Source organism: Homo sapiens, chromosome 14, assembly GCF_000001405.40.
Source record: "Homo sapiens chromosome 14, GRCh38.p14 Primary Assembly".
NCBI classification, from domain to species: Eukaryota; Metazoa; Chordata; class Mammalia; order Primates; family Hominidae; genus Homo; species Homo sapiens.
Window position 1 is genome coordinate 23,557,344 of NC_000014.9, and position 21,913 is coordinate 23,579,256.

General features: G+C 55.6%; 3 protein-coding genes and 1 long non-coding RNA gene across 52 annotated transcripts in view, besides 9 other annotated features; 2 read left to right on the forward strand and 2 right to left on the reverse strand.

Annotated features, from left to right (window-relative positions):
* Positions 1 to 2,928, forward strand: part of THTPA (thiamine triphosphatase) — a 48,512-nt gene extending 45,584 nt beyond the window's left edge. For 8 of the 9 annotated variants that reach the window (NR_046051.1, NR_046052.1, NR_023314.4 and 5 more), the window contains one exon: positions 1,352 to 2,238. Coding sequence is in view for 6 of the 9 variants with exons in the window: in NM_001256322.2 (NP_001243251.1) it covers positions 1,352 to 1,497 (146 nt within the window). In the remaining 3 variants the exon portion in view is untranslated. Of the gene's footprint in view, positions 1 to 1,351 lie in introns of all 9 variants that reach the window. The other variant, NM_024328.6, reaches the window with a different exon arrangement.
* AP1G2 (adaptor related protein complex 1 subunit gamma 2) lies at positions 2,224 to 10,448 on the reverse strand. Of its 40 annotated transcripts, none has more exons than XM_005268173.4 (22): positions 10,396 to 10,448; positions 9,768 to 9,972; positions 9,219 to 9,343; positions 8,935 to 9,076; positions 8,721 to 8,817; positions 8,473 to 8,549; positions 8,263 to 8,358; positions 7,776 to 7,856; positions 7,219 to 7,317; positions 6,990 to 7,045; positions 6,703 to 6,816; positions 6,373 to 6,513; positions 6,241 to 6,295; positions 6,037 to 6,159; positions 5,161 to 5,250; positions 4,945 to 5,072; positions 4,619 to 4,723; positions 4,169 to 4,292; positions 3,953 to 4,088; positions 2,912 to 3,075; positions 2,595 to 2,693; positions 2,224 to 2,507 (listed from the first exon to the last, which is right to left on the reverse strand). In XM_005268173.4, exons 2-22 carry the CDS (start codon positions 9,969 to 9,971, stop codon positions 2,406 to 2,408), a joined length of 2,358 nt encoding a protein of 785 aa, XP_005268230.1. In that variant the 5' UTR covers position 9,972; positions 10,396 to 10,448; the 3' UTR covers positions 2,224 to 2,405. The 40 variants fall into 40 exon arrangements, 38 of the variants coding, with proteins under 38 accessions (XP_005268230.1, NP_003908.1, XP_047287811.1 ...); NM_003917.5 differs by having other exon boundaries at positions 9,768 to 9,976; XM_047431855.1 differs by having other exon boundaries at positions 9,768 to 9,976; positions 10,254 to 10,448.
* AP1G2-AS1 (AP1G2 antisense RNA 1) lies at positions 3,754 to 10,733 on the forward strand. The gene is made up of 4 exons (NR_110555.1): positions 3,754 to 4,530; positions 7,384 to 7,497; positions 8,113 to 10,079; positions 10,346 to 10,733. It is a non-coding gene; the product is annotated as an AP1G2 antisense RNA 1 (long non-coding RNA).
* Positions 4,734 to 5,234: an enhancer, noted in NCBI's record as "H3K4me1 hESC enhancer chr14:24031286-24031786 (GRCh37/hg19 assembly coordinates)". NCBI's record gives its function as "activates a minimal SCP1, AML or CMV promoter by ChIP-STARR-seq in naive H9 embryonic stem cells {active_cell/tissue: H9 hESC(naive)}" and the evidence as "EXISTENCE:reporter gene assay evidence [ECO:0000049][PMID:30033119]".
* Positions 5,235 to 5,735: an enhancer, noted in NCBI's record as "H3K4me1 hESC enhancer chr14:24031787-24032287 (GRCh37/hg19 assembly coordinates)". NCBI's record gives its function as "activates a minimal SCP1, AML or CMV promoter by ChIP-STARR-seq in naive H9 embryonic stem cells {active_cell/tissue: H9 hESC(naive)}" and the evidence as "EXISTENCE:reporter gene assay evidence [ECO:0000049][PMID:30033119]".
* Positions 9,661 to 9,750: an enhancer, noted in NCBI's record as "active region_8175". NCBI's record gives its function as "activates an Ori minimal core promoter by ATAC-STARR-seq in GM12878 lymphoblastoid cells {active_cell/tissue: GM12878}" and the evidence as "EXISTENCE:reporter gene assay evidence [ECO:0000049][PMID:35858748]".
* Positions 9,781 to 10,020: an enhancer, noted in NCBI's record as "active region_8176". NCBI's record gives its function as "activates an Ori minimal core promoter by ATAC-STARR-seq in GM12878 lymphoblastoid cells {active_cell/tissue: GM12878}" and the evidence as "EXISTENCE:reporter gene assay evidence [ECO:0000049][PMID:35858748]".
* Positions 10,501 to 10,550: a silencer, noted in NCBI's record as "silent region_5611". NCBI's record gives its function as "represses an Ori minimal core promoter by ATAC-STARR-seq in GM12878 lymphoblastoid cells {active_cell/tissue: GM12878}" and the evidence as "EXISTENCE:reporter gene assay evidence [ECO:0000049][PMID:35858748]".
* JPH4 (junctophilin 4) lies at positions 10,695 to 21,447 on the reverse strand. Of its 2 annotated transcripts, NM_032452.3 has the most exons (7): positions 20,837 to 21,447; positions 20,526 to 20,651; positions 19,732 to 20,281; positions 18,342 to 19,113; positions 14,459 to 14,577; positions 13,585 to 14,117; positions 10,695 to 12,374 (listed from the first exon to the last, which is right to left on the reverse strand). In NM_032452.3, the coding sequence occupies exons 3-7, from the start codon at positions 20,108 to 20,110 to the stop codon at positions 12,291 to 12,293; spliced, it is 1,887 nt and encodes a 628-aa protein (NP_115828.2). In that variant the 5' UTR covers positions 20,111 to 20,281; positions 20,526 to 20,651; positions 20,837 to 21,447; the 3' UTR covers positions 10,695 to 12,290. The 2 variants fall into 2 exon arrangements, with proteins under 2 accessions (NP_115828.2, NP_001139500.1); NM_001146028.2 differs by lacking the exon at positions 20,526 to 20,651.
* Positions 11,540 to 11,639: a silencer, noted in NCBI's record as "silent region_5612". NCBI's record gives its function as "represses an Ori minimal core promoter by ATAC-STARR-seq in GM12878 lymphoblastoid cells {active_cell/tissue: GM12878}" and the evidence as "EXISTENCE:reporter gene assay evidence [ECO:0000049][PMID:35858748]".
* Positions 19,458 to 20,218: an enhancer, noted in NCBI's record as "H3K4me1 hESC enhancer chr14:24046010-24046770 (GRCh37/hg19 assembly coordinates)". NCBI's record gives its function as "activates a minimal SCP1, AML or CMV promoter by ChIP-STARR-seq in primed H9 embryonic stem cells {active_cell/tissue: H9 hESC(primed)}" and the evidence as "EXISTENCE:reporter gene assay evidence [ECO:0000049][PMID:30033119]".
* Positions 19,713 to 19,872: an enhancer, noted in NCBI's record as "active region_8177". NCBI's record gives its function as "activates an Ori minimal core promoter by ATAC-STARR-seq in GM12878 lymphoblastoid cells {active_cell/tissue: GM12878}" and the evidence as "EXISTENCE:reporter gene assay evidence [ECO:0000049][PMID:35858748]".
* Positions 19,963 to 20,082: a silencer, noted in NCBI's record as "silent region_5613". NCBI's record gives its function as "represses an Ori minimal core promoter by ATAC-STARR-seq in GM12878 lymphoblastoid cells {active_cell/tissue: GM12878}" and the evidence as "EXISTENCE:reporter gene assay evidence [ECO:0000049][PMID:35858748]".
* Positions 21,448 to 21,913: the final 466 nt, after the last annotated feature.

A 21,913-nucleotide genomic window follows, 5' to 3' on the forward strand; every position in this document is an offset into this window, starting at 1 on the left:
ACTTTTCTCTTTTGGAGGCACCTGCTGGACCATGCAGTGGGGGAGGGCCTCCGGATTAAAAATTTTTTTTTTAATAGAGACAAGGTTTTGCCGTGTTGCCCAGGCTGGTCTGGAACTCCTGGACTCAAGCAATTTGCCTGCCTCGGCCTTCCAAAGTGCTGGGATTACAGGTGTGAGCCTCTGTGCCTGGCCTGGATTATTTTTGTAATGGGAATTGTTTTAGCAATTTTCTAAGTTTGCTTACAGTTCTGTGAAATCTCGTTTTCTCTTTAACAGTAGCTAATTTGGATCTAGTCCTTCCACGTGTCTAATTCCAGCCAACCTGCCTCATTTAGTTCTCATACCTATAGCCAGATCTCCTTCAGTTTCATTTCTCAGTTCCCTGCTTTGACTCTTCCTTCCCCCAATCTCTTTTTTTTCTTCTTCTTCAGTCACCACTCCTCCACAAGGAGTAAAAAGTAAGCCTTTTTACAAAAGCTGCCCTCTGGGAGGCTCAGACCCAGGATCTTCAGATCATGAGACTGATGCACTGCCCACTACACTGAGAGTCCAACCAGTCTTGTCCTTTTGTTTTACAATTACCTAGATCCTTTTAATTTGTCCTTTTGGCTTTTTGTAAAGGACAATAACATTATAGTTATGTGAGACAGTGGGGCATGATTTGGCAGATTTGTTCCTAAGCATAATTCCCTTGTAGACAGTTCATCCACACTAGGAATTGTGCATCCCATGGGGCCTTACAGCCCTGCAGTGCTGTTTGAGCCCCCTCAGCAAACATACACTGAGTTCCTTGCTATGTGCCCAGCATGCTGCCAGGCACTAACAACAAGACACTGGCAACAGGCAGTTCCATTCTCACCTCACCATGTAGAGGCGAGAATTCTATGTGAATCCCACCCCATGGCTATAGCTTCCCTCCTCTTCTTTCTATAGCTCTTGGTTTCTATGTGTACATCTCTGCATGTGCTTCATTACTAAGCTAATGAGCTTTGGCCTGGTCTAGGGCTTTAATCTTGATTGCGGAACAGGGTAATAACTGAAATGAGCTGACGCTGAGGCATCCTTCGTTTATCTTGGTGCCTGGGTGCCTCTTCGCCATTTCTCCTTGCTGGAGGAGAGAGGCTGAGGTGTGGCTTCTAGTCCCACTCTTGCCTGAAGTTGCTCTTTTAGGTCCCACTTCCACAGGCAGGCAGGGAGTGGACTAGTGTGTTACAGAAGCTGGGTGGGTGACATTCAGAACCCCAGTGTGGCTTTGGAAACATCCACGGAGTCCTGGCTAGGTGGGCAGGGAGCAGAGTCCAAGTGCTTGTGGCTCTGTCCATTTCTCTCCTCATTGTCCTTTTACCTGTAGGTGTGCCTGCACAGGAGACAGCACCAGCCAAGCTGATTGTGTATCTACAGCGTTTCCGGCCTCAAGACTATCAGCGCCTGCTAGAAGTGAACAGCTCCAGAGAGAGGCCACAGGAGACTGAAGATCCTGACCACTGCCTGGGCTAGGGGTGTCACTTCCTAGAAGGGGAAGGGAACTCTGGGTCTAACGGAGTCCACTCCTGGGCCCACTGTGCCTCTCCCCTCAGTGTCCCTTCTGACAGTGACTCCTCTCTCTCCAGCGCTGCCTGTTTCTTCCCCCTCCTCTAAGCTACTCTTCCTTGAGCCCTCCCTGGCTGCTTCCTCTCGCTCATCCGTCAGATGCAATCTGTGGGCCGCCCCTCTCCCCTGGCCGCTAAGCAGCCTCCATTGATTTCCGCTCGTGTTTATAGGATTTCCACTTAGCCGTGATCAGTAGTTAAGCACAGGAAAATCCCTTGCCACCCCCCCTCCCTTGGTCGATGCCATTGATTCTGCCAGCGGCTCCTAAACCGCCTTACAGCTGAGTTAGAAGATGAGGAGAGGCAGCAGGGATTTCCCTGCCTTGGGATGTGGGAAACAGAAGAAAAGTTGAGGAAATGGTTGGGAATCGCTGTTAGAACTCTAGAAATTCTAATCTGACTTTGCCACTGTGCCCAGCTCTGGCCCAGAGGGTAGAGTGCCTCCTGTGGAAGTTTAGGGGCAAATTTGTTCCCTGACCTGGAGAGGGTTAGAAAGAACCAACAGCTGCCCCCTCCCCGCCCCCGTGTTGAGACAGGTTCTCAAGGCTCAGGGGAAGATGCATACCTCCTATGTAAGAATGCTCTTCCCTTGCTGTTATTCATACACACTTTCCACTTCAAATATACCCAAATATGGCTTTCCTCACTTCTCAGGCTTTATTGGGCTTTATTTGTGGGAGAAGGGGGCTGGTCCCCAGTTTTTGCAGTGCAAAGCCAGAGCGCCACCTGCTGGTAGCCCTCAGGTGTAGGTTCGAAGCTGCTGGGGCCCCCTGGGGTTTGGGACACAGGAGAATTTCAGGCTGTGAGTGGAGACAGTTACTGCCACGATTCCACAGGCAAGTTGTTCACCTCAAAGATCTCCTGCACCGACTGGTGAAAGTGGTCGTAGGTGAGGCGCAGCTTTAGCCGCAGGGGGGCCTAGGAATAGGAGAGCAGGGACCAGGGTTAGCACCCACGGCTTCTTCTATCCCTGGGTCTTGTCTTGGGGGAACTCCTGAAGCTCACCTTGTTAGGATTGAGGATTCTGAAGAGCTGGGTGATAGGAAGGCCACCCCGAGCTGGAACTGTGTTCCCACTGGGGGCCTGCAGCTGCAGCTGGAGACTCTGAACACAGGAGTTTAACAGAGCACAGTATGGCAGTAGGTAGGGCTCAGGCAGCCCCTCTATACTCAGTGGCTCCACACCCTTTTCCTGTAACTCCCCAAGTGCTGATCTCCAGATGACTCAATCCCATCTCACACTGTCTCCCACCCACCTCCTCCACTTAGTGGCCTTTTCTCCTGGAGTCCCCAGGCCACCTCTGAACTCTGATCTTTACAAACCTTGGGCACAGCAGCCTGGCAGATGAAATGGGTGACATCACCCTCTGAGAAGTTGGTGGCAGTGATGGTGATTAACAGCAAAGCAGGGTTTTCAGGGGGTCGAATGAAAGACAGATTCAGCTGTACTCCCTCACGCTCAAACACTTTGAGATCTGGGATGGGAGCTGGAGTAGGGAGACAGAAGCAGCTCAGTGTGCAGGTTTGAGAGAACATGTTTGTTCATTCATTCAACAAAAATTGAGTAAACACCTACTGGCCCTGCACTACTCGAAAGGCTAGTAACAAAGTAGACATGTAGATGAGGATGGAGCTTACTGTCTAATGGGGGAGAGAAACAATAAAAAAAGGCCGGGCGTGAGCCAGTAATCCCAGCACTTTGGGAGGCTGAGGTGGGTGGATCACCTGAGGCCCGGACTTGGGAGGCTGAGACACAAGAACAGCTTGAACCCGGGAGGCAGAGGTTGCAGTGAGCCGAGATCACGCCACTGCACTCCAGCCTGGGTGACAGAGCAAGACGCTGTCTCAAAAAAAAAAAAAAAAAAAAAAAAAAAAAGGCAAGATAATTACAGACCATAATAGATGCTATGAAGGAAGTAAGTCATGCCAGAATAACTGGGGAGAACTGACTTAAATAGGAGTGGTAGGGGAAGGCATCTGACATTTTAGCTGAAGCCTGAAGAGTGAGAATGAGCTGGTCATTTGATGTGCTGGGGAAAGAACATTCCATGTAAAAAAGAACATGAAATGCCAAGGGTGGGAGGGTGTGAGGAGCTGAGAAGGGGGCAGTGAGTGGGTAGTGGGAAAGTGGTATAAGAAGGGTTGGGGAGGAAGCAGGGCCCTGTAGGCCAGGGAAAGAAGTCTGGAACAAAGGGAAGACAGATGACCATGATTGACTTCATTCTTTTACCTCCTGAGATGGCGATGGGATGGGGGACACACAGGAAGAAGCAGGGTCCATGAGCCTCAGCCCTTGGCTTAGGAGGAGGAGCAGTACATTTCCACCTACCTTCTCTAAGACATCTTCCCTTTGCTTAGGCTTACCTGGGGGTGGAGGTACACAGGGAAGGTCAAGCAGGTGTACCAGGGCACCTCCTGGGGAGGGGTCCAGATGGGGAGGATGCTGGACATCCCCAGAAGCCCCATCCAGGAGATCTAGCAGATCCAGGAGCTGTGAGGCCTGGCAGAAGGGACAGAAGGGGCAGGGCTGGGTATGAAGCTCAGCCCGTCTTCCTACCCCAGAGTTTCTAGCCTTCTCACCTGGGGCTCTGTGGGCACTGGGGCTGCTTCTGAAAGCTGGGCTGCTTCTTTGCTTTCCTTTGCTTCCTCATCAGCCTGAGGGCCATCTCGCTCCACAAGAGGCATTTTTTCCAGGATGGCAGCCCTGAGAGGATGGAATGCAAGTGTGCCTCTGTGTGGTCTCTGGGCCTTTCACAAGAGGCATCTAGGATGAGGACTAGGAATATGGAGCCCTGGGCACATGGTGGCTCAGAAGTACCCTTCTGATTTCCTAAAATGACATGTTGTTGCTGATTTTCAGATGAACAAGGAGGGTTGGAAGCCAGCTTAGCTTCAATTAACAGTGGGTGGGAAGCTCTCACCGTGGATATGGAAGAACACAGGTGAGGATGAGGCCCTTGTACCTAGAAAAGGGCATTTGGGAGAGGGCAGGGGTTTGGGTCCCATGCTGCAGCACAGTGCTGGACACACCTCATGTGGTCGTATTTCCGGAAGAGTGTGTCATACTCCACAGCCCGCTGCTGCAGCTCCACGTCCAAGCAGCTCCCGTAGATGGACACCACCTGGCGGATGCGGCTGGGCCAGTGTAGTATGTAAGTGGCTATGGCAGTGTGCCACTGCAGGATGTGGCAAGAAGGAAAGGCCCACGGAGCAGGGAAATACCCAGATTTGGCTCAAAAACAAGAACCTAAGGGCTAGGGGGTAGGGAGGGCTGGGCATGTATGCCTGGAAAGAAACTCAAAAATGGGTGGACCCAGTGACAGGCCATCTCTCAAGGGGCTGGGACCCCTTCTTACTTGTTGTCCCCACAGAGGCGAGTGCTGAGCTTCATGAGGGCTGTGAGGGCATATCCTCGAGTGGCTGGCAGGGACATGTGGGACTGCAGCACCTTTTCCAGCAATGCCAGCACTTCCTCTTCGTCCACCTTCAGACATGGATACAGTTAGTGGCCCTGGTGCAAGTCCTGTCCCCCTGACAAGTCCCTCCTCAGTGTACCCCCAATGAGGTCTCACCTGAAGGGGCTCAATCTCCTCGCAGTTCCCTGCCAGCAGGAGGTCCCCATACTCCCCAATGCACCAGGCTGCCACCTGCACCAGTGGTTGCTACATGGGATAAGAAACTGCTGGGCTGGCCAGGCATGGTGGCTCAAGCCTGTAATCCCAGCGCATTGGGAGGCTGAGGCGGGAGGATTGCTTGAGACCAGGAGTTCAAGACCAGCCTGGGCAACAAAGCGAGACCCCCCCCATCTCTATTTTAAAAAAAAAAAGAGAGAGAGAGAAAGAAAGAAACACTGCTGGGCCAGTGTCTGAGGTCCCCTCCTCACTTCCAGACCTGGCAATATCCCTTTAGGCAGTGCAGAGATGGTGGGGGGTTGGAGGAGTGGGGAAAGGGAAGTTTGTTACCTGGCTCCCACTGCCCTCTGGTGGCCAAGCATCAGAACTACATGGCCTAACCAAACAGGATGGAAATGTGAGAGGGTCCCTCCCTTGTGGAAGGGGTGGATGATGCTTTCTGCCCACCCTATTTAATTAAGATGGAAAAGGGGGCTATAGATACTGGCTGGCATCTGTTAATTCATTCAGCATTCAAGGTAATAATAAAACCTCATAAACACAAGAGCTTTAATCTCAAGGCAGCTCTAAGAGGCAGTCAGGGTACATGGAGCATAAGGGAAGTTAGTCATCTGTAGTTACATAACCAGGAGGTACCAGAGTCAGGACAAAAGCCCAGATGTTCTTAAAAACAGGGCTCTGTGCTCAGATGTCTTCTGCACTGTGTAAGCAGCTGTGACCTTGAGAGAAAAATTGGAATCTAGTAGGGAGGAGGTGGCCCAGGATGGGCAAGGGAGTGGTTGGGCAGCCCTGGGCCTAGGTAGGTGGGAATGGTACCTGGGAAATGTCTTCTGCCAGGGCATTGTAGAGGCGGCGCACAGAGTAGGCATGTAGCTCCTGGGCCCCCCCAATCAGCTGGGTCAGGTTGGCCACTGCATCATCCCGCACATGGGTGCCCGCCTGGAAGGTGTGGGCATGGCCAAGTCAGTGTGGTGAATCTTGACCACTTCTGCCCAGCTCTCTGACTGGCCCCTGCCTCACCGTTGTCAGCACATGCAGGATGGTGTCTATGTGCCAGCGTTTGGTTGGAGCAAACCTAGGGGATATATGGCTCATCAGTCCTGGTACTGACGCTCCCCAGATTCTACCCTCTTCGACTCCTGGGCACCTCACCTCTCTGCAGCCAGCAGGATGCCTGAGGCACAGTCAGCCCGTAGGTCAGGAGGGCAGGACTCCAGAAAGGCCTGCAGCTCTTGCATCATGGCTCGCACATTGGAGCTATTTACCAGAGCCAGGCTTAGTTCCAGGGCTCTCCTGGCAGGAGAAAGAGGTTTCCATGCAGGTAGCCCAGGTCATCCTGGTCCATGCCTCAGGCCCTCTGCTTCCCCAGGGACCTGTCCCCCTTAGTCCCCTTACTCCAGCTGCTCTAAACTGGCTCGAGTCTTGGCCACAGGGCACTGGGAACCTCTGCCCTGCCCTCCTGTCCCCTCTATCACTGCTCACCGGCTGAGGGAGGCATCAGTTTCCCGTAGACATTCCACCACAGTGGGCCGATGCCGCTGCACAGCACTGTGATCAGACTGCACCAGTCGAAGCAGTGATGTCAGGGCTACATACCTGGTCAGGATGGGGGAGGTTCTATCATACCATGGCCATCAGCCCCCACTCCCCGTCCTGTCCTGGGTATAGGGATAAGATAAGAGAGAAATGGATCAGGAGGCTCTGGAGGAAGGAGGGCAGAGGGCCAGGGGATCAGTGGCACAGCCTAGGTAGACAGTTGGGACTATTACCTAATGTTCCTGTCACTGTTGAGTAGGAAGCGACCAAGAATGTTGACAGCTAGAACCTATGAGAGGCAGAAGTTGGGGTCAGTCGGAAAGGAGCAACCTGCTCAGCCATTGAGGACTGGGAACACATTGGCGCAAGATGATGGGGCTAGGAGGGAGAAACCAGCAAGCAGGACCTGTGTGGGTGAGGTGGTGGGCGGGGCCGTAGTGGGAGAGGCATAAGGGGTGATACCCGTAGGCCAGCTGCAGAGCGGATATCCATGATGGTGAGTACTGTCTCAAACAGGACCGCATTTCCGGCATTTCGGCTGGTGTCCGTGTTAGTGGCCACCTGAGTGGATGAGAGAGGAGATGTATCTGCTCAAGGCCCTCCTCAGGTCTCCTTTTTTTGATACAGGGTCTCACTCTGTCGCCCAAAGCTCACTGCAGCCTTGACCTCCCAGGCTCTGATGATCCTCCTGCCTCAGCCTCCTGAGTGGCTGGGACTACAGGCACATGCCAACAAGCCCAGGTAATCCTCAGGATTCTTGAAGGACTCCAACATGTTATCTGTCCATCCTTCAACCATCCAACAAAGTTCCCTGAGGCTCTACTATGTGCCAGGGCCAGCCTGGGCACTGGGGCAATAGCACTAAGACAGACTGTGTCCCTTCTTCATGGAGTTCACTGTCTAGAGGAGATGGAGAGGCAATTACACGGCCACTGCACAGTGACGAGTCATGTGAGGGGCACCCAGGGCTGATGGGGTCTCCAAGCAACACAGCTAACCAGTGCCCTCCCAGGCCCCACCTGGGCCAGCAAGTCATTCATGGTCTCACTGCTCTCCTCGTGGTTCCGGCCCAGGATCCGAAGCAGACGAAGTATCTGGACCTGAGGTTGGGTTGAAAATGGAAAGTTGGAGGGGTTCATAGGATAAGGAGTCGTGGGGCTGAGGAGAAAACTCCAACATGTGAGGGTCTGGCTCGCTCCCTAGAGCCTTCCCCCACCTCCTCACCTCCACAGGTCCCTTGGTCCTAGGAGGGGAACAGAGGTGTGTGAGGCCAGGGGAGTTTAGGACAGGCTTAAAAAAAAAATTGTTAACAAACTGTATTTTCCTGACTTTTAGGCATTCCCTCTCCCCTCACAGGTCCTGGGATGACCCGAGCAATCCTGTGCCTGCTACTCTGCTGCCCAGGACACTGAGAGAACCAGTGTTCTCTGGGAGGAAACCACTGGTCATGGTCTTACTGCTATGCCCTCTCTGATCCAGGGATACAGCAGTGAAAGGTCACCCCACCTGCAGGAAGGGGTCGCTGACTCCAGATATGCTGTGTTCTGTGGAGTATCCCATTGTCACCAGAGTCCGGAGGATGTGTACCAGCTGGGGTACCACCTGGAGGGAGGGCACAACTTTGGGCATTCGTTCTAATCCTCTCCAGCTAAAGCCCCATTCCTTCCCCACTGACCCTGTCTTCCAGGCCCAGGGCCTGCCCCTTCACCAGCCCACCTTTCGGAAGTGCCTGAGGGCTGCAGGGCTTCGTTCGCAGAGCTCCGTGATCAGCGTGATGGTGCCCAGCAGGATGCCTGGGGTCAGCGTCGGGGAAGTGAATGGTGGGGGCCAGGGGCAAGAGAGTCTATTGCGTGTGTGCCTGTGTGTGTGCACTACCCTTCTCCTGTGAGCTGGGGTTCCCATCCGATTTTCAATTCTTCTGTCCATAGACCTGAAGCAAAGGATGGGGGGCCCCACAGCCTTACCATGGTGACGCTCATGAAGCAGTTGGGCACAGGGTGGGAGGAAGACACTGGAGAGTTCAGGGACCTTCCGGATCATGTGCACTGCAGTCAGAATAGCCTGCAGAGGTCAGGGGCCTCAGACAGGGGTCAGAGGAGATGGACCCCTGCATCTACTACTATATAGCACGCAGCAGGCAGTGTGCAGGAGCACGTGCCAGGAGTCCCGCCATCTCACCTTCTTGCGCACGTAGGGACTGGGCTGCAGGAGCAGTTTCTCCACCTCTGGGGCCAGGTCTCGGCACATCTCAGCAGAGCCCATGGTGCTCAAAGTGCACAAGGCCAGGCCTTGTACTGGCTGAATCCCCTGGCTCAGGTCACTGCAGGGTTTGGGAGGACGGTCAGTCAAACCTCTGAGAAAATCAGTCCTTTTCAATACCCACAACAGGCAGTCCCCTGGGATTTCCAAGGTCCCTACTCTCCCATCTCCCTGATTCCAAGTGATTGCCAGAACCCTCTCACTTCTTGATGCTGTTGGTAATGAGCAGGTGGGCATCGTGCCTCTCATCCAATAGAAGCATGGCCCCCAGGTAGCCCACCCTCTTGTCTGTGAATCTGGAGGAGGCGATCAGTTTCAGGCACTCCATCTATAGTGAAGGGGGCAGACCAGGAAGAGGCAGGGGTGAAACCATAGACACTCACATCCCTGTTCCATCTTCCTCTTTAAAACCAGATTAACCTGTGGGGCATCATATCTCATCACTCTCCCTTCAACAAGAGGAGAAGCTTAGGAAATTCAGGCGTTAGTGGGTAGGAGGAACTAGGAGTTGAGGAGGATGGGAGCGGAGAGGAGGAGATGCCTGCCCTAAAGGAGGCTGGCCAGAGAATGAAGGGTTCAGGCCAGCTGATGACCAGTAGGGGTAGCAATGGGGAAAGAGGTTTGCAGTGCAGGCTGTGAAGACTCTGAAATTGTAGAATTTAAAAAACCAGGGCATAAACAGGTGAGAGAGTCTGGGACTCTGCCCCACTAGCCTTCATCAAGCTCAGGAGGGAGGTATTCCTGGCCAGTACCTGTCCAAAGTGGGCGGGGTAGCCCAACATGTGGACGTAGAGCAGTTTGGCCAGCTGCCGGTGCCTGTGCACTGGGTCCCCGTCGCGGAAGGAGGCCCGGATGTGGGCACACTCCTTTTGGATCACCTCCCGCTCCTGGGCCTGAGTCTTGGCCCCGCGAATCTCTTCGATGAGGTCCTGAAGCTTCAGCGAAGGCACCACCATCCTGACTGGCAGAGTCCGGGAGTGGAGAAACACTCTCTGGTCGGGCGTGCCTGGGCTTTCGGCCCAGGCCCGTCCTGTGTCAAGACCCTAAGAGCCCGGGTCCCACAGGTACCCTAAAATTGCGCCCGCATTTTACCTTTCCCGAAGTGGGTCTCCAAATTCCGCGCCCACCCCACCGCCCGAGAAGCCCACTACGCATGCGTCCGCACCCCACCGGCGCCCCTTCCTATTGAGCATGCGCGGGAGCCCCACCTATTTCTCTCTACCGTTTCCTCCCCCTACCTGGTACCCCATCCCTAGCTCAGCCATTGCTTTTTTTTCCACGACCCTCCGCTGTTTCTTCCGCGAGCTTCCTCCCCCGATTTCCATCTCAGGCAGCGGCAGCGGCAGCGACAGCCTGCCTACCCCAGGACTCCAGCCTCACCTGGCTTCTGCCTCAACTCCGCTCCTCTGCCCCCCAGCGCTTCCTGGTACGGGGCCGAGCAGGGGTTGGTGCTCCGTGCGGTCCTTCCCTCTCCCCGCCTCCACCACGGGACCCCGCCCTCCTGGGCCGACTGCAGAGCCTTCCTGAATCCTCTGACCTCGGGCCTCAGGCTTTAGCGGAGAGACAGCATGATAGGCCTGGAGTTCTTCAAGAGGCCTCCTCGCACATCCTTACCACCCGGAGAGCCTCAGTTTGGATTTGAAGCCATCGCACCCCAAAGGAGATGACAATCCCCCCCCTTTTTTGAACTTTTTTATTAATATATTTTTTTTGTTAAATTTCTTTGTATTTTTTTCCTGCAAGACTTGGTGTTGGCGGCACTGTTGTAGTTTAACTTCAATCCCAAATTCCATGAAATAGAAATCAGAAGTAAAGGTTGAGAGGGGAGGAAGGAGGGAGGCAAGCCAAGGAATAAACAAGAGTTTGACTAGAAAAAAAGAAGAGGGTATGTGTGGTGGGCATTCCTGGGCAAGGCCATTCCTTGAGGGAGGGGGTTGGCAGGCAGCTTGCCTCTGCCTCATGCAGGGGAGGGAGGAAAGATCCCCTGGGGACCCTGCAGTCCCCTCTTCCTAGGGCTTCCTGCTCCCAGGGGAAAAACTAATACCAGAGAGGGATCAGCCACAACCTCAAACAGGGCTCTCCACCCACCTGTCACCCGGGTTTGACTCCCACCTCTGCCCTGCCTGGGAAGCATGTGAGATCAGCTATCTTTGATCCCCTCCTTCTGTTGTTTTCCCATTTCACAAGATTCTGATGTAAAGGGGGAAGGGATATAACCCATTTTGGGACTACTAAACTTGTCACAGCTTCTGCTTCCATGTGAGCTCCTGTTATCTTGTCTGGTCCTATCCCCCAGAAGTGCCTCCTCCCACCACAACTCCCAGAGTTGGGATGTGGGGGCCTTGCTCAAGTGCCTCTAACCCTCTGCAGTAGAAATGTCTTCTTCAGGCCCCTTAGGAATTTAATCAAAGGCCACAAGTGAGTCCAGACCAACCAAATAAACTATTATGGGGGAGACAGAAGGGTGGGAGAAGTCAGTGGCAAAGTCTGGGCAGGGTGGACTTGACTGCATTGGATATTCTCTGTTCCTTTACACGTTGCTCTTGGCATGGCATGCCACCAGAGGGGGCTGGAGGAGGGGCTGGCCGATGAGGAGAAAAAGAGGGAAATGCTGGGGAGTTACTCTACTTTTCACTTCCCTTCTCTCCTTCAGGGAAGGATGGAATTGGGCAGTAACCCAGCTCAGTGCTTGGAGGTAAGATAATAGCCTCCAAGATTAGAGGTGGAGGATGCACCTCCTGCAGCTTTTTCACTAGGCCTCAGAGGGACAGCAGGCCCCTTAGGCTAGGGAGCCACAGCAGCTCAGCCAGTGCCTTGCCCGACATTCAATCACTCCTTCTTCATTTTCTTCCTCCTCTCCATTCAGCTTCCAGGAGTCTCCTTAGGACACCAAACCCCCACCCGCAGCGAAGTTGAGGTCTAAAGAAAAGGTGGGAGGGCGTGGAGCAATGGTCTGACTTAGATTTGTGTGTCTCAGAGAAGACAGCAACTCTGAGAGAGAAAAGCCCTTCATATGTAAACAATCTAGAGAAAGAAGGGGTTGGGATGGGGAAGGGAGTGAGGAATACAGAGACAGATCCAGAAGAAATGAGATAATCTGAAAGAAGACAGGGAAAGAAAAAGCGAGAGAAAAAAACAAAGGAGCACAGAAAAGAAAGGAAGAAGAGAAAGAAAGATAGGAGAAAACACAGCCAGGAAGAGGAGAAGAGAAAAAAGGCAGGTCAAAGGGGTGAAGAGGCACGCAACCAAAGCCAGAACCAGGCCAGGAAGTAGCCTCAGGTGAGGAGCTGGGAGAACAGGAATGCCAGGCTGAGGTCCAGGAGGGCCACGGCTCCCACCACCAGGGGGTTGGCAGCTCCCTAGAGAGACAGAGGGGGAAGCAGACTCAGTCCCCGAGGACAGGGCCCACCTTCCTGCCCTGACTGAGGTGGCAGAGCTGAAGGGTCTCAGGCACCTCCCTGCACAGCCTGGAGCAGGGGGATCGCCAACATTTGTTTTGGATTGCAAAACCCCCTCTTCTCCCAGGCAGGGCCCCACCTTTCCTCTGACACCTTCAATGCAGGGACAGCCCTTCCACCTCCTCCCTCTAGTCCCCTCCCATCAGCATATCATGTGTCCCAGGCAGGAGGTGCCTGGCCTTAGTAGCAGACATTGGCAGCAGCAGCCAGTACTGCAGTAAGGCAGAGGGATGAAGGGGTGAGGATGTGGTTGCTAGGAAACAGAAGGCCTAGAGCCCAATCAGAGTAGAGGGTTCTGGGCAAACTCCGCCTCTCCCGGTTTTCTGCCTTCTTCTCTATTTCAACTTCTTCCCGGGAGAGGGAGGGAGAGTCAGGGTAGGGAGGGAACAATCTTTTCCTTTTTTATTTCTGGGCACCAAAGAGAGAAAGTGCGGAGGTGGGGGTGGGGGTGGAGTAGGAAACTGAGAGCTGGAAATGATATGGAAGGAGAACGGGGGAAAAATGTTCTGGCTCTCCCATTAATTATTAGTTTACAACCCTGGGCAAGTTACTTTTTTTTTTTTTTTTTTTTTTGAGACAGAGTCTCGCTCTGTCACCCAGGCTAGAGTGCAGTGGCGCGATCTCAGCTCACTGCAGGCTCCGCCTCCCGGGTTCACGCCATTCTCCTGCCTCAGCCTCCCAAGTAGCTGGGACTACAGGCGCCCGCCACCACGCCCGGCTAAATTTTTTTTGTATTTTTAGTAGAGACGGGGTTTCACTGTATTAGCCAGGATGGTCTCGATCTCCTGACCTCGTGATCCGCCCACTTCGGCCTCCCAAAGTGTTGGGATTACAGGCGTGAGCCACCGCGCCCGGCCTGGGCAAGTTACTTTAAGTGCTCTGGGCCTCAGTTCCCCCATCTGTCAAATGAGGGAGTTGGGCTTGCAGGTGTGTAAGGTTCCTTCCAGCTCGAACGCCCTCTATTTTTTTGAGGTGGGATGTGGTCCAAGACTGGCCAGGCAGAGGAAGCCGAGTGAGATAAAAAGCCCCCCCGGTGATCAGACAGTTCTGGAAAGGGTGGGAGGCAAGGCTTTGGGAGAAGAGGGCACACAGCAGGGACAGAGGATCTCACCGGCTGGGCAGGCCTCTCGGTTGCAGCGGGCTCCCCGAGCTCTTCTGTCAGGCACCCAGCATCAGGACCCCTCGAGGACGAGCCCCTCAGGACCAGCATGGCGATGGGCTCAGGCTCCGTGCCTGCTGGGGCCCTCAGCGGGGGCAGGGGCTCTTCATCCTCCCCCTCCTCCTCTCGAAGACTTCCTGAACTGTCGCTGCAGCCTCCGAGGAGTGGGGAACCGTCTCTGGGCCCTGGCCCTTGCATCCCAGCCTCATCCTCAGCCTCATAGCCAGCTAGTTCCTCTGCCTGTGCGCCTGCCCCCCCCCACTCCTCAGGCCAAGCTTTGGGGCTGGAGAAGGGACCCTGGTCCCCTCCAGGAGGCAGTGGGCTCCGGCAGGCAGGGGGTCGCCAGGGTTGGCGGGAGGAGGCAGGACTGCTGGGCAGTTCAGGGGATCCCTCTGAGGGGGTCAGTCCGTTCTCATATACCCCAGGGCTGTCCTCATCCAGGGGCTCCGTGTCGGAACCTTCTGAGTCCTGCCTGGGTCTGCGGCCTGGGTAGGGATAGCTGAGAATCAGAGGGGCCTAACTGGCCTTGGGCTGGAGTGGCTGCAGCTTTATTCCTGACTGGGCACTTCCCAGGACTTTGGAATTCCCAGGCTCATAGCCTCTCACCGCCAGACCCCAAACCCCCCATTATCCTACTGCATACATTCCCAAGTCCCACTCCCCAGACTACCAGGTCTGGCCCCCACCCTGTGTTCCTTGCACCCTCATTCCTTGTTTTTTCCCATCCCCACTTCCCTTGCAGGGCTTCTCATCTGTTTCCCCACACCTGAGCCTCTCTAGCTCCCTAGGGGCCTCACTGCCCTCCCCCCAGCTGTCCATGCCTCACCTGGGGCCTCTAGCATGGGCTGCAGGTCCTGGGCTATCAGTTTGGCCATTCGAGCTGCCTCCACGGCCTTCTCAGCGACACTGCTGGCTGCCACTGCCTTTAGGAGGGCGTCTGCTGCCCTGTCGGGTCCAGAGACAGGGATTTAGCAGAACTTCCCCCACTTCAAGTTAGTCCCTGCTCAGATGCTCCAGCCCCCTAGCCCCTGTCCCCTCTACATCACATCCTCCTCTCCTCTGGAGTCGTCACCCTTCGCCACACTCTGCCAGCTGCTTCCCTTCCTGGCAGGCCAGGGCAGCTCCCGTTTGGTTTCCTCCCCCTGACCTGGGCTGTGTTTGCCACCATCACACCCTCCTGCTCCTCTCACACCCTTCTACTGCTACGTCCTGTAGTAACACTTCTTCCAGTTGCAAGGGCCAGGCCCTCCTGGAACTGTGTAATTCCATTCCTATCCTGCCCCCTTCCCAGTGACAGTCGAGACCTCACTCTTTTAGCACATCCCCTGCAGTCCTGCTTGGTGCTTATGAGCTATACTACCACCTTCTTTGCAGTTAGCACCTCCTGTTGTTACTAACCCCTCTCACCCCCCTGGAGTCACAGGCCTCTCTGTGGGGTCTAGCACAGGGTCCTGTACCTTGATCCTCCCCTCCAAGCAGCTTCGCCCCTGCCCCGCCCCCTCGTTCAGAGCCACCGTCTCCCTTATGTTAACAGTCTCTGCCTCCCTTTCTCTTTCTACTGTCACTTCTCCTTACTATTAATCCTACCTCTACCCGTACAGATTTCCTGGCATGAGAACTTCCTATCTTGCGTTCCTTCAGCCTCTTCTGTTATGACACTGTTCTTCCTCTTGTCACTGCTACCACCCCACTGCCCCCCGTCATGCTTTCCTGAGCTCTGGAACTGGAATGAGAGTGGGTCTCCCCTTTCGGTAATGATCCCATCCCCTCTCCCTACTAACATGCAATATGCTTTCTCACCATTGCAACTACACTTCTGGCTAAACCCTTAGTCTCCCTTCCACAACCCCCTACCACCTTCCCTGCTCCTTAGGTGCAGGCAGCCTGGGAGTCTGATCAGTCCTTCCCCACTGTTGCTTCTCAGTTCTCCCTGTGATGTCAGATGCTTCCTCAGTTTTCTCTTCCCTTTCACCCTCTGCTGTTAATCGTAGATGCCTTGTCATCCTTAAATGAGTTCTGTAATTCTGAGGGTGGGGCACAAAAGAGCTGAGGAAAAGGCAGGCCGACGAGCTGCCATGGGCTTGAATTGATCACACCCCATGACTTCCTCTGGCCACAGGCCTGTTCTCTCTGGCTCAGGAAGGCAGTCTGGTATGGGGGTGGGGAAGAGGATGGTGATATCTACTGTGCATATTCTTAGTCCATAGCCTCTTCTTTATGTTCTTTGGGAGCCGTGATTAGCCCCTTCTCCTCAAACCTGGTGGGTCAAAGATCTTTAGAGCCTATTTGGAGGGATCTCAGATAACGTGGCTCTTCTGTCTTAGGACTCTCAGATTGTATATAACTAGCCCTGTCCTGAAACTGAGCTGGACTCAGGGTGCACAGCGGGCACATGTGCAGTCTCCTGCCTCTGGCCCTTCAGTGGGGCAAAGTCAAGGAGAAGGTGGACAGGGCTGTCAAGGGCACCTGTTGAGCCGTGAGCGTGAGGATCATGGTCTTGGGTTGTATTGAGTTATTTTGGTGGCCTGAAACTGGTGCACTGATGAGGCCTGTTTTTGTGTATGAAGAGTATGGATGATCAAGTCCCACACAGTAGACTTAGTCTGTGCTCAGGCATCAGACTCAGGCCAGGCTCAGGCTACCTGGCAGAGGCACCTGCTGCTGAGGCTCTGCTGTTTCCATGGCAGCTGGCAGCCAGTCGGGATTGCCAGGCCTGTTGCTGGGGAGACCAACCAACCTCCTCCCACTGCCTGATCCTCTAGTTACTGAGATCAGTTTTTCCTGCACATGTCTCCACCCTATCTAGCCTAAAATGTTCCCTGGTGCTCTGCCTTCCCCCTTCCCTGGCTTAAGTCCCTGGGCTCTAACATCCAGACTCCCAGACACATCTATAGATGCACATTCTCTGACTCAAACGTCTACTCTGCATTTGGCATGTTTATATTCTTTCTCTCTCTCTGTAACACACACACACACACACACACACACACACACGCACTCTCACTGTGTCACCCATTATACAAACTCATTTAAGCATATTTGGACATATCCTGATCTCTGATCTCTCAAAAAGTCTCAAATTTAAATGAAATCCTCCACCCCTTTAAAAGAAAATTCAATATGTAAAAATTCAAATATGTGAGTTGTATAAATAAGGGGTCTATGAATCTCATTACAAGTGGATTTTTGGCTTCTTTTAGATTTTTTTTTTTTTTTTAGACTGGCGTTCACTTTTCTCGCCCAGGCTAGAGTGCAGTGGCGTGGTCTCGGCTCACTGCAACCTCTGTCTCCCGGGTTCAAGTGATTCTCCTGCCTCAGCCTCCCGAGTAGCTGGGATTACAGGAACCTGCCACCACACCGAGCTAATTTTTGTATTTTTAGTAGACAGGGTTTCCCATGTTGGCCAGGCTGGTCTTGAACTCCTGACCTCAGGTGATCCACCCACCTCGGCCTCCCAAAGTGCTGGGATTACAGGCATGAGCCACCGTGCCCGGCCTTCTTTCAGATCTGTGCTATTTAATTCAGTAGTTACAAACCATATGTGGCTATTAAGCATTTGAAACGTGTCTAGTCTGAATGGAAATGATGTGATTTAAGTGTAAAATTTAAGGGGCGGTCCCGTGCTGCCCACCTTGCTGCTCACCTCGCTGCGCAGGGAGCCTCGCTTGCTGCCCAGGGAGCTGCAGGTTTCAAAGACTTAGTTCAAAAGGAATTTGTAAAATATCTTAATAATTTTATACTGGTTACCAGTTGAAATGATAATATTTGGATATATTGGTTTAAATAAAAATATTATTAAAATTCATCACACCTGCTTTTTTTAATTTTCTATTCCGTTGTTTGTTTGGTTTTTTGTTTTTCAGAGACAGGATCTTGCTATGTTGCCCAGGCTGGTCTTGATGGGCTCAAGTGATCCCCTTACCTCTCAAGGGTCTACAGGTGTGTGCCACAATGTCTGGCTTCTTTTTGTTTTTTAATGTGGTTACTAGGAGATTTAAAACTACCTATTTGGCTTATATAATATTCCTGTTAGACAGCACTGCTTTAGATAGCAAGGTTCCTGATGCAAGGAAATGTAATTTGATTTACAGAAACGTTTCATTTACAGGGAAGCCTCCTCCCCTCAAACCTCCCATCAGTTGGGTAAAAGAAGGCAGAGGGGGCAAAACTGGGAGAGACTATCTTTTCAGGTGGATAGGTCAGCTGTATAAATTAGACTTCCCAAAGGCCCAAGGCTGAAATGGTGTCAGGCTGGGACGTGATTAGGAAGGGACAGTCCCTATTCCACCCAGGGTTGATGCTCCCAGCCTGAGGCCTGGAGGCTGGATCAGCTGCAAGAGGAGGAAGACTAGGGACATGTTTTGAGTTCCAAGAGATTTCTGGGCCTGCACAAAACAGCTTCCTTGCTACTCCCACACACAACAATGGATTCCATAGACATGCATCTCCACACAAAAGACACCGAGACACATTTACAGTCTTACACCATCTCCCTCAAATACCCAGCTATCCAGAGTTACACCCACATCCACCTGTAGCCTCGGATATAAACACCAAGAATGCCCAGGGGTCCAACTGCCTGGCCTTAGGCTTGCAATAGCAGGCCCTAGGCCTTGGGCCTTGGGCCTCCCTTAGGCACACCCGCCTTCCTGGTCCCCAGCGCACCCCCTCCTCTTAGCCCAGCTTTGGCCTCTGAACTGGACGCCCACCTGGCAGCGGCGATCTCCTGGCGCTGACGGGCAGCACTCACGGCTCGACGGGCGCCCTCGACAGCCCTGTCCACCTTCTCCTTAACCTTGCCCCGCCGAAGGGCCAGAGGCAGGAGACTGCGGACGCGCCCGCCGTGCACCAGCCGGTTGCGCTTGTACTTGCCCTCCTCGCGGGAGCCGTCGGGGCGGGTGGTGCGCCCGTAGCCGTGCCGCCGGTTGCCCAGCCACTCGCCCTCGTAGCGCAGCCCGTTGGAGCGCTGGCTGACGCCGAAGCCGCTGCGCCGATCTGCGCGCCACTCGCCCGCGTACACCTCTGTGGCCGAGCCCTCGATGAGGGCGGGCGGCGCTGCGGCCGGGGGCCCGCTGGCCTCCGAGCCGGGCGGTCCGGTGCTGCCCACCTCGCTGCTCACCTCGCTGCGCAGGGAGCCTCGCTTGCTGCCCAGGGAGCTGCGACGTCCGCCCGCTCGGAGCCCGCTGAGCAGCAGCGAACGGCGAAAGAATCCGCCGGCCGCCGGAGTGCGCTTTCGGGACGACGCGCCGTCGGCGTCCCCGGGCCCGGCCAGCACGAAGCCGCCCCGGGAGCCCGAGGCGGGGCTGCCTCCCTCGTCGCCCGGCAAGGGCAGGGGCGGGGGTGGCGTCGGGGGGTCGCTGTGGCCGGAATCCAGGGAGGTGCGGCGGGGCGAGCGCAGCAGCGCCGCCTGATGGTAGGGCACACTCTGGCGTACCCCGTAGCCGTGGCGCTTCCCGGCCTGCCACTGGCCCTGGTAGGTGCCTGCGGGCGGCGGAGGGGTGGGAGAAAGAGTCAGGACGTGCCGCTGGGCTCCTTGCGCCCCAAGTCCCAAGCGCCCCTGGAAGCCCAAGCGTCAGGCGGGAGAGATGGAGGCAGTTAGTGTGGAGGTCGGGGAAGGGCACTGGGAGCCGGGAACAGGCCAGGCTGGGCCGGAAAGTGTGGGAGAGCAGAGTGAAGACGGGCAGGTAGCAGGAGCCCTACGTGGATTTTGGCAGTGCGGGTAAACAGGGGAAACGGGGAGGGCCCGGCAGGCATGCGAAGGACAGGCTGGTCAGGGCGTTTAGATAGGCAAACAGTACTCTGAGGGGCACGCCGACCCGACGGAGAGCAGAGGTGTTGGGGACAGGCAGGTAGAGAGGGAGGTGTGAGGACAGGCAGACAGGGAAGGGGTGAGGGAGAAGCGAGCAGGAGACAGACAATTGAGGAAAGCATAATCATGGTGGGAGAGAGCAGAAATTGGGGGCTGGGGGTCACATCGATGGGGAATGGTGGCGGGGGAAAGAAGGATGGGCGCAAGGGCGCAAATGGCGGGCGAAGGCCCAAGGCTGGGGAAGGCGCACGCGGACGAGCAGACAGACACTGGTGGGCCGGGCCCCGCACCTCCGTCGGAGTAGGTCTCAGTGCCGTAGCCGTCCTGGAAACCGTCCTTCCAGAGCCCGGCGTAGCGCAGGCCGGACACGCTTTCCCACACGCCGCTGCGCCCCTTCAGCCCGCCCAGCCACTCGCCGCGGTACGTCCAGCGGCTCTTGCGCTCCACGCCCAGCCCTTCGCGCTTGCCCTGCTGCCAGTGGCCCTGGTAGCTGTGTCCGCCGGGCCCCGTGAAGACGCCCAGTGACTCGAAGCCGTGTGCCCAGCAGCCGCTGTACTCGCCCTGGGCGCCGGGGCCCGTGCACACGCCGTAGCCATGTGCCCGCCCCGCCTCCCAGCCCCCCACGTAGCAGCCCCCGTCGTCAAAGTCGAACTTGCCCCCGGGGGACATGCATGTAGTTGGCGCGGCCTCAGCCCCCCGGCGGCTCAGCGCATCCTGGGACTGGAGAGCCTGCTGGGGGCCTTGGAGCCGGGCGAGGCCTCGGGGCGGGGGCAGTTAGACCGGGGCCGGGCGGGGGGGCCCCAGCGAGGGCAGGCAGGGCCGGACCCTCATCCTGAGTGGCTGCGGAGAAAGAGGGAGGGGGGCAAGTGGCGAGAGAGGCCCCTCCTCTTTGCCCGCCGCTCCCTGGCCCGGTGGCTCTGGGGCATCAGCGCCGCCCCCCAATCCACCCCCCTCCTTTGGCAGCATCTTCCAGCAGCCCCCAAGCTTTGGGGGAATGGGGGCTTCCCCCATTTCTGTCTTTGTGGAGCGGGCCCCTCCCAGGACTTGGGGCCCCAACCCCAAGCGGGAGTCCCAATTCTCCAACCTAGAACCCCGAAGTGTCGAGTGTGGATGGCAGTTTGGGGGTCCTGAGAGGGGGCTGGGCAGAATCGTAGGGCACCCGTTTCCCTGGCTGCTGTCAGGACCCCTCTGCCCCGGTTCTTCGGCGTCTCTGGCAAAGGGATGGGGGTGGGGGGTAGAATATGTAGCGGGGAGATCGGACCAAGGTAGGCAGACGGTTTTTCGGGGGGTTTTTCGGGGGGTTTTTCGGGGGATGGGGCCCAGGGGAGGCTCTGCAGGGGAAAGGCCAGGGTGGGGACGGGCAGACAGGCAGAAGGGAGGGGGCAGGCTACTCACCATGTGGGCTGGGGCTCAGGCTGCCTCCCCGGCACAGCATCCATGGCAGGATACCTCCACTCCCACCTCGCCCGGACAAGCCAAGCCCCCTCCCCTTCCGGAGAGACTGCTCCAACCCAGAGAGGAAAGGTGGGGGAGTCCGGAGAGTCCCCTCTCTCCCCAGCTGGAGGAGCAGGCTGGGTGGGGGGGCGAGGTAGTGGCAAGGGTGGGGGAAGATGAGAATAGTGTAGGGGAAAAAATCTGCCTTGGATGGAGATAGGGAAGAAGAGCTGGGAGCTGGATGCAAAGGGGGAGGGGGCTCTCAAGAGGGGGTGTTTTTATTATTTTTTTCTTCTTATGGTTGGGAGAGGAAAAATAAATCAAAATTCCGATTCCATCCCAGCACAAATCAATGTTTGCTCCATCCCAGCATCACGGGGGAGGCTGGGCCAGGCAGATTTAAAGGGGCAGGGAGAAGAGAAGAGAGAAGAGGGTGGGTAGAGAAGGATACGGTGAAGAAGAGACAGCGGCAGTGTTGCGGGTGGTGGTGGGGTCCCCAAGCAGAAAAGGATGGGTGTCCGCTAACCCTTCGGTGAGGGAGGAGGCAGGCAGAGAGGAGAAGGAGATGCACTGAGACCCCCAGGGAGGAGAGAAATCCTGGCATGCGGGCTGGGAGTGGGGCGAGGCGGAGGGGAGGGAAGAGGAGCGAGGGGGAGGAGACTGAGCTGAAGATGGGGAGGCAGGGGGAGGCCGAAGCCGGGCGGGGGAGGAGAGATGCTGGCGAGGCTGGGAGAGGGTGAGAAGAATACAAAGAAAGAGGTGCAGGGGTGAGCACTAAGGAGGGGGGAGATGCAGCCTGAGAGAGGGGAAGGAGGGGAGACCCATACTGGGGCTCGGGAGGGATGGCAAGGAGGAGAAAAGCAGGGGAGGAGGGAAGAAGGGGGAAAGAAATAGATATGGAGACTGAGAGAGCGAAATAAGGCTCCTGAAGGGAGGGAGAAAGCTCTGCAGAGGGAAGGGCAGGCGTGGGTATAGAGATCCAGGCAGGAAGAGCCCAGATAGAGGCAGGAGGGCCGGAAGTGGTGTTTGTGGGGCCCT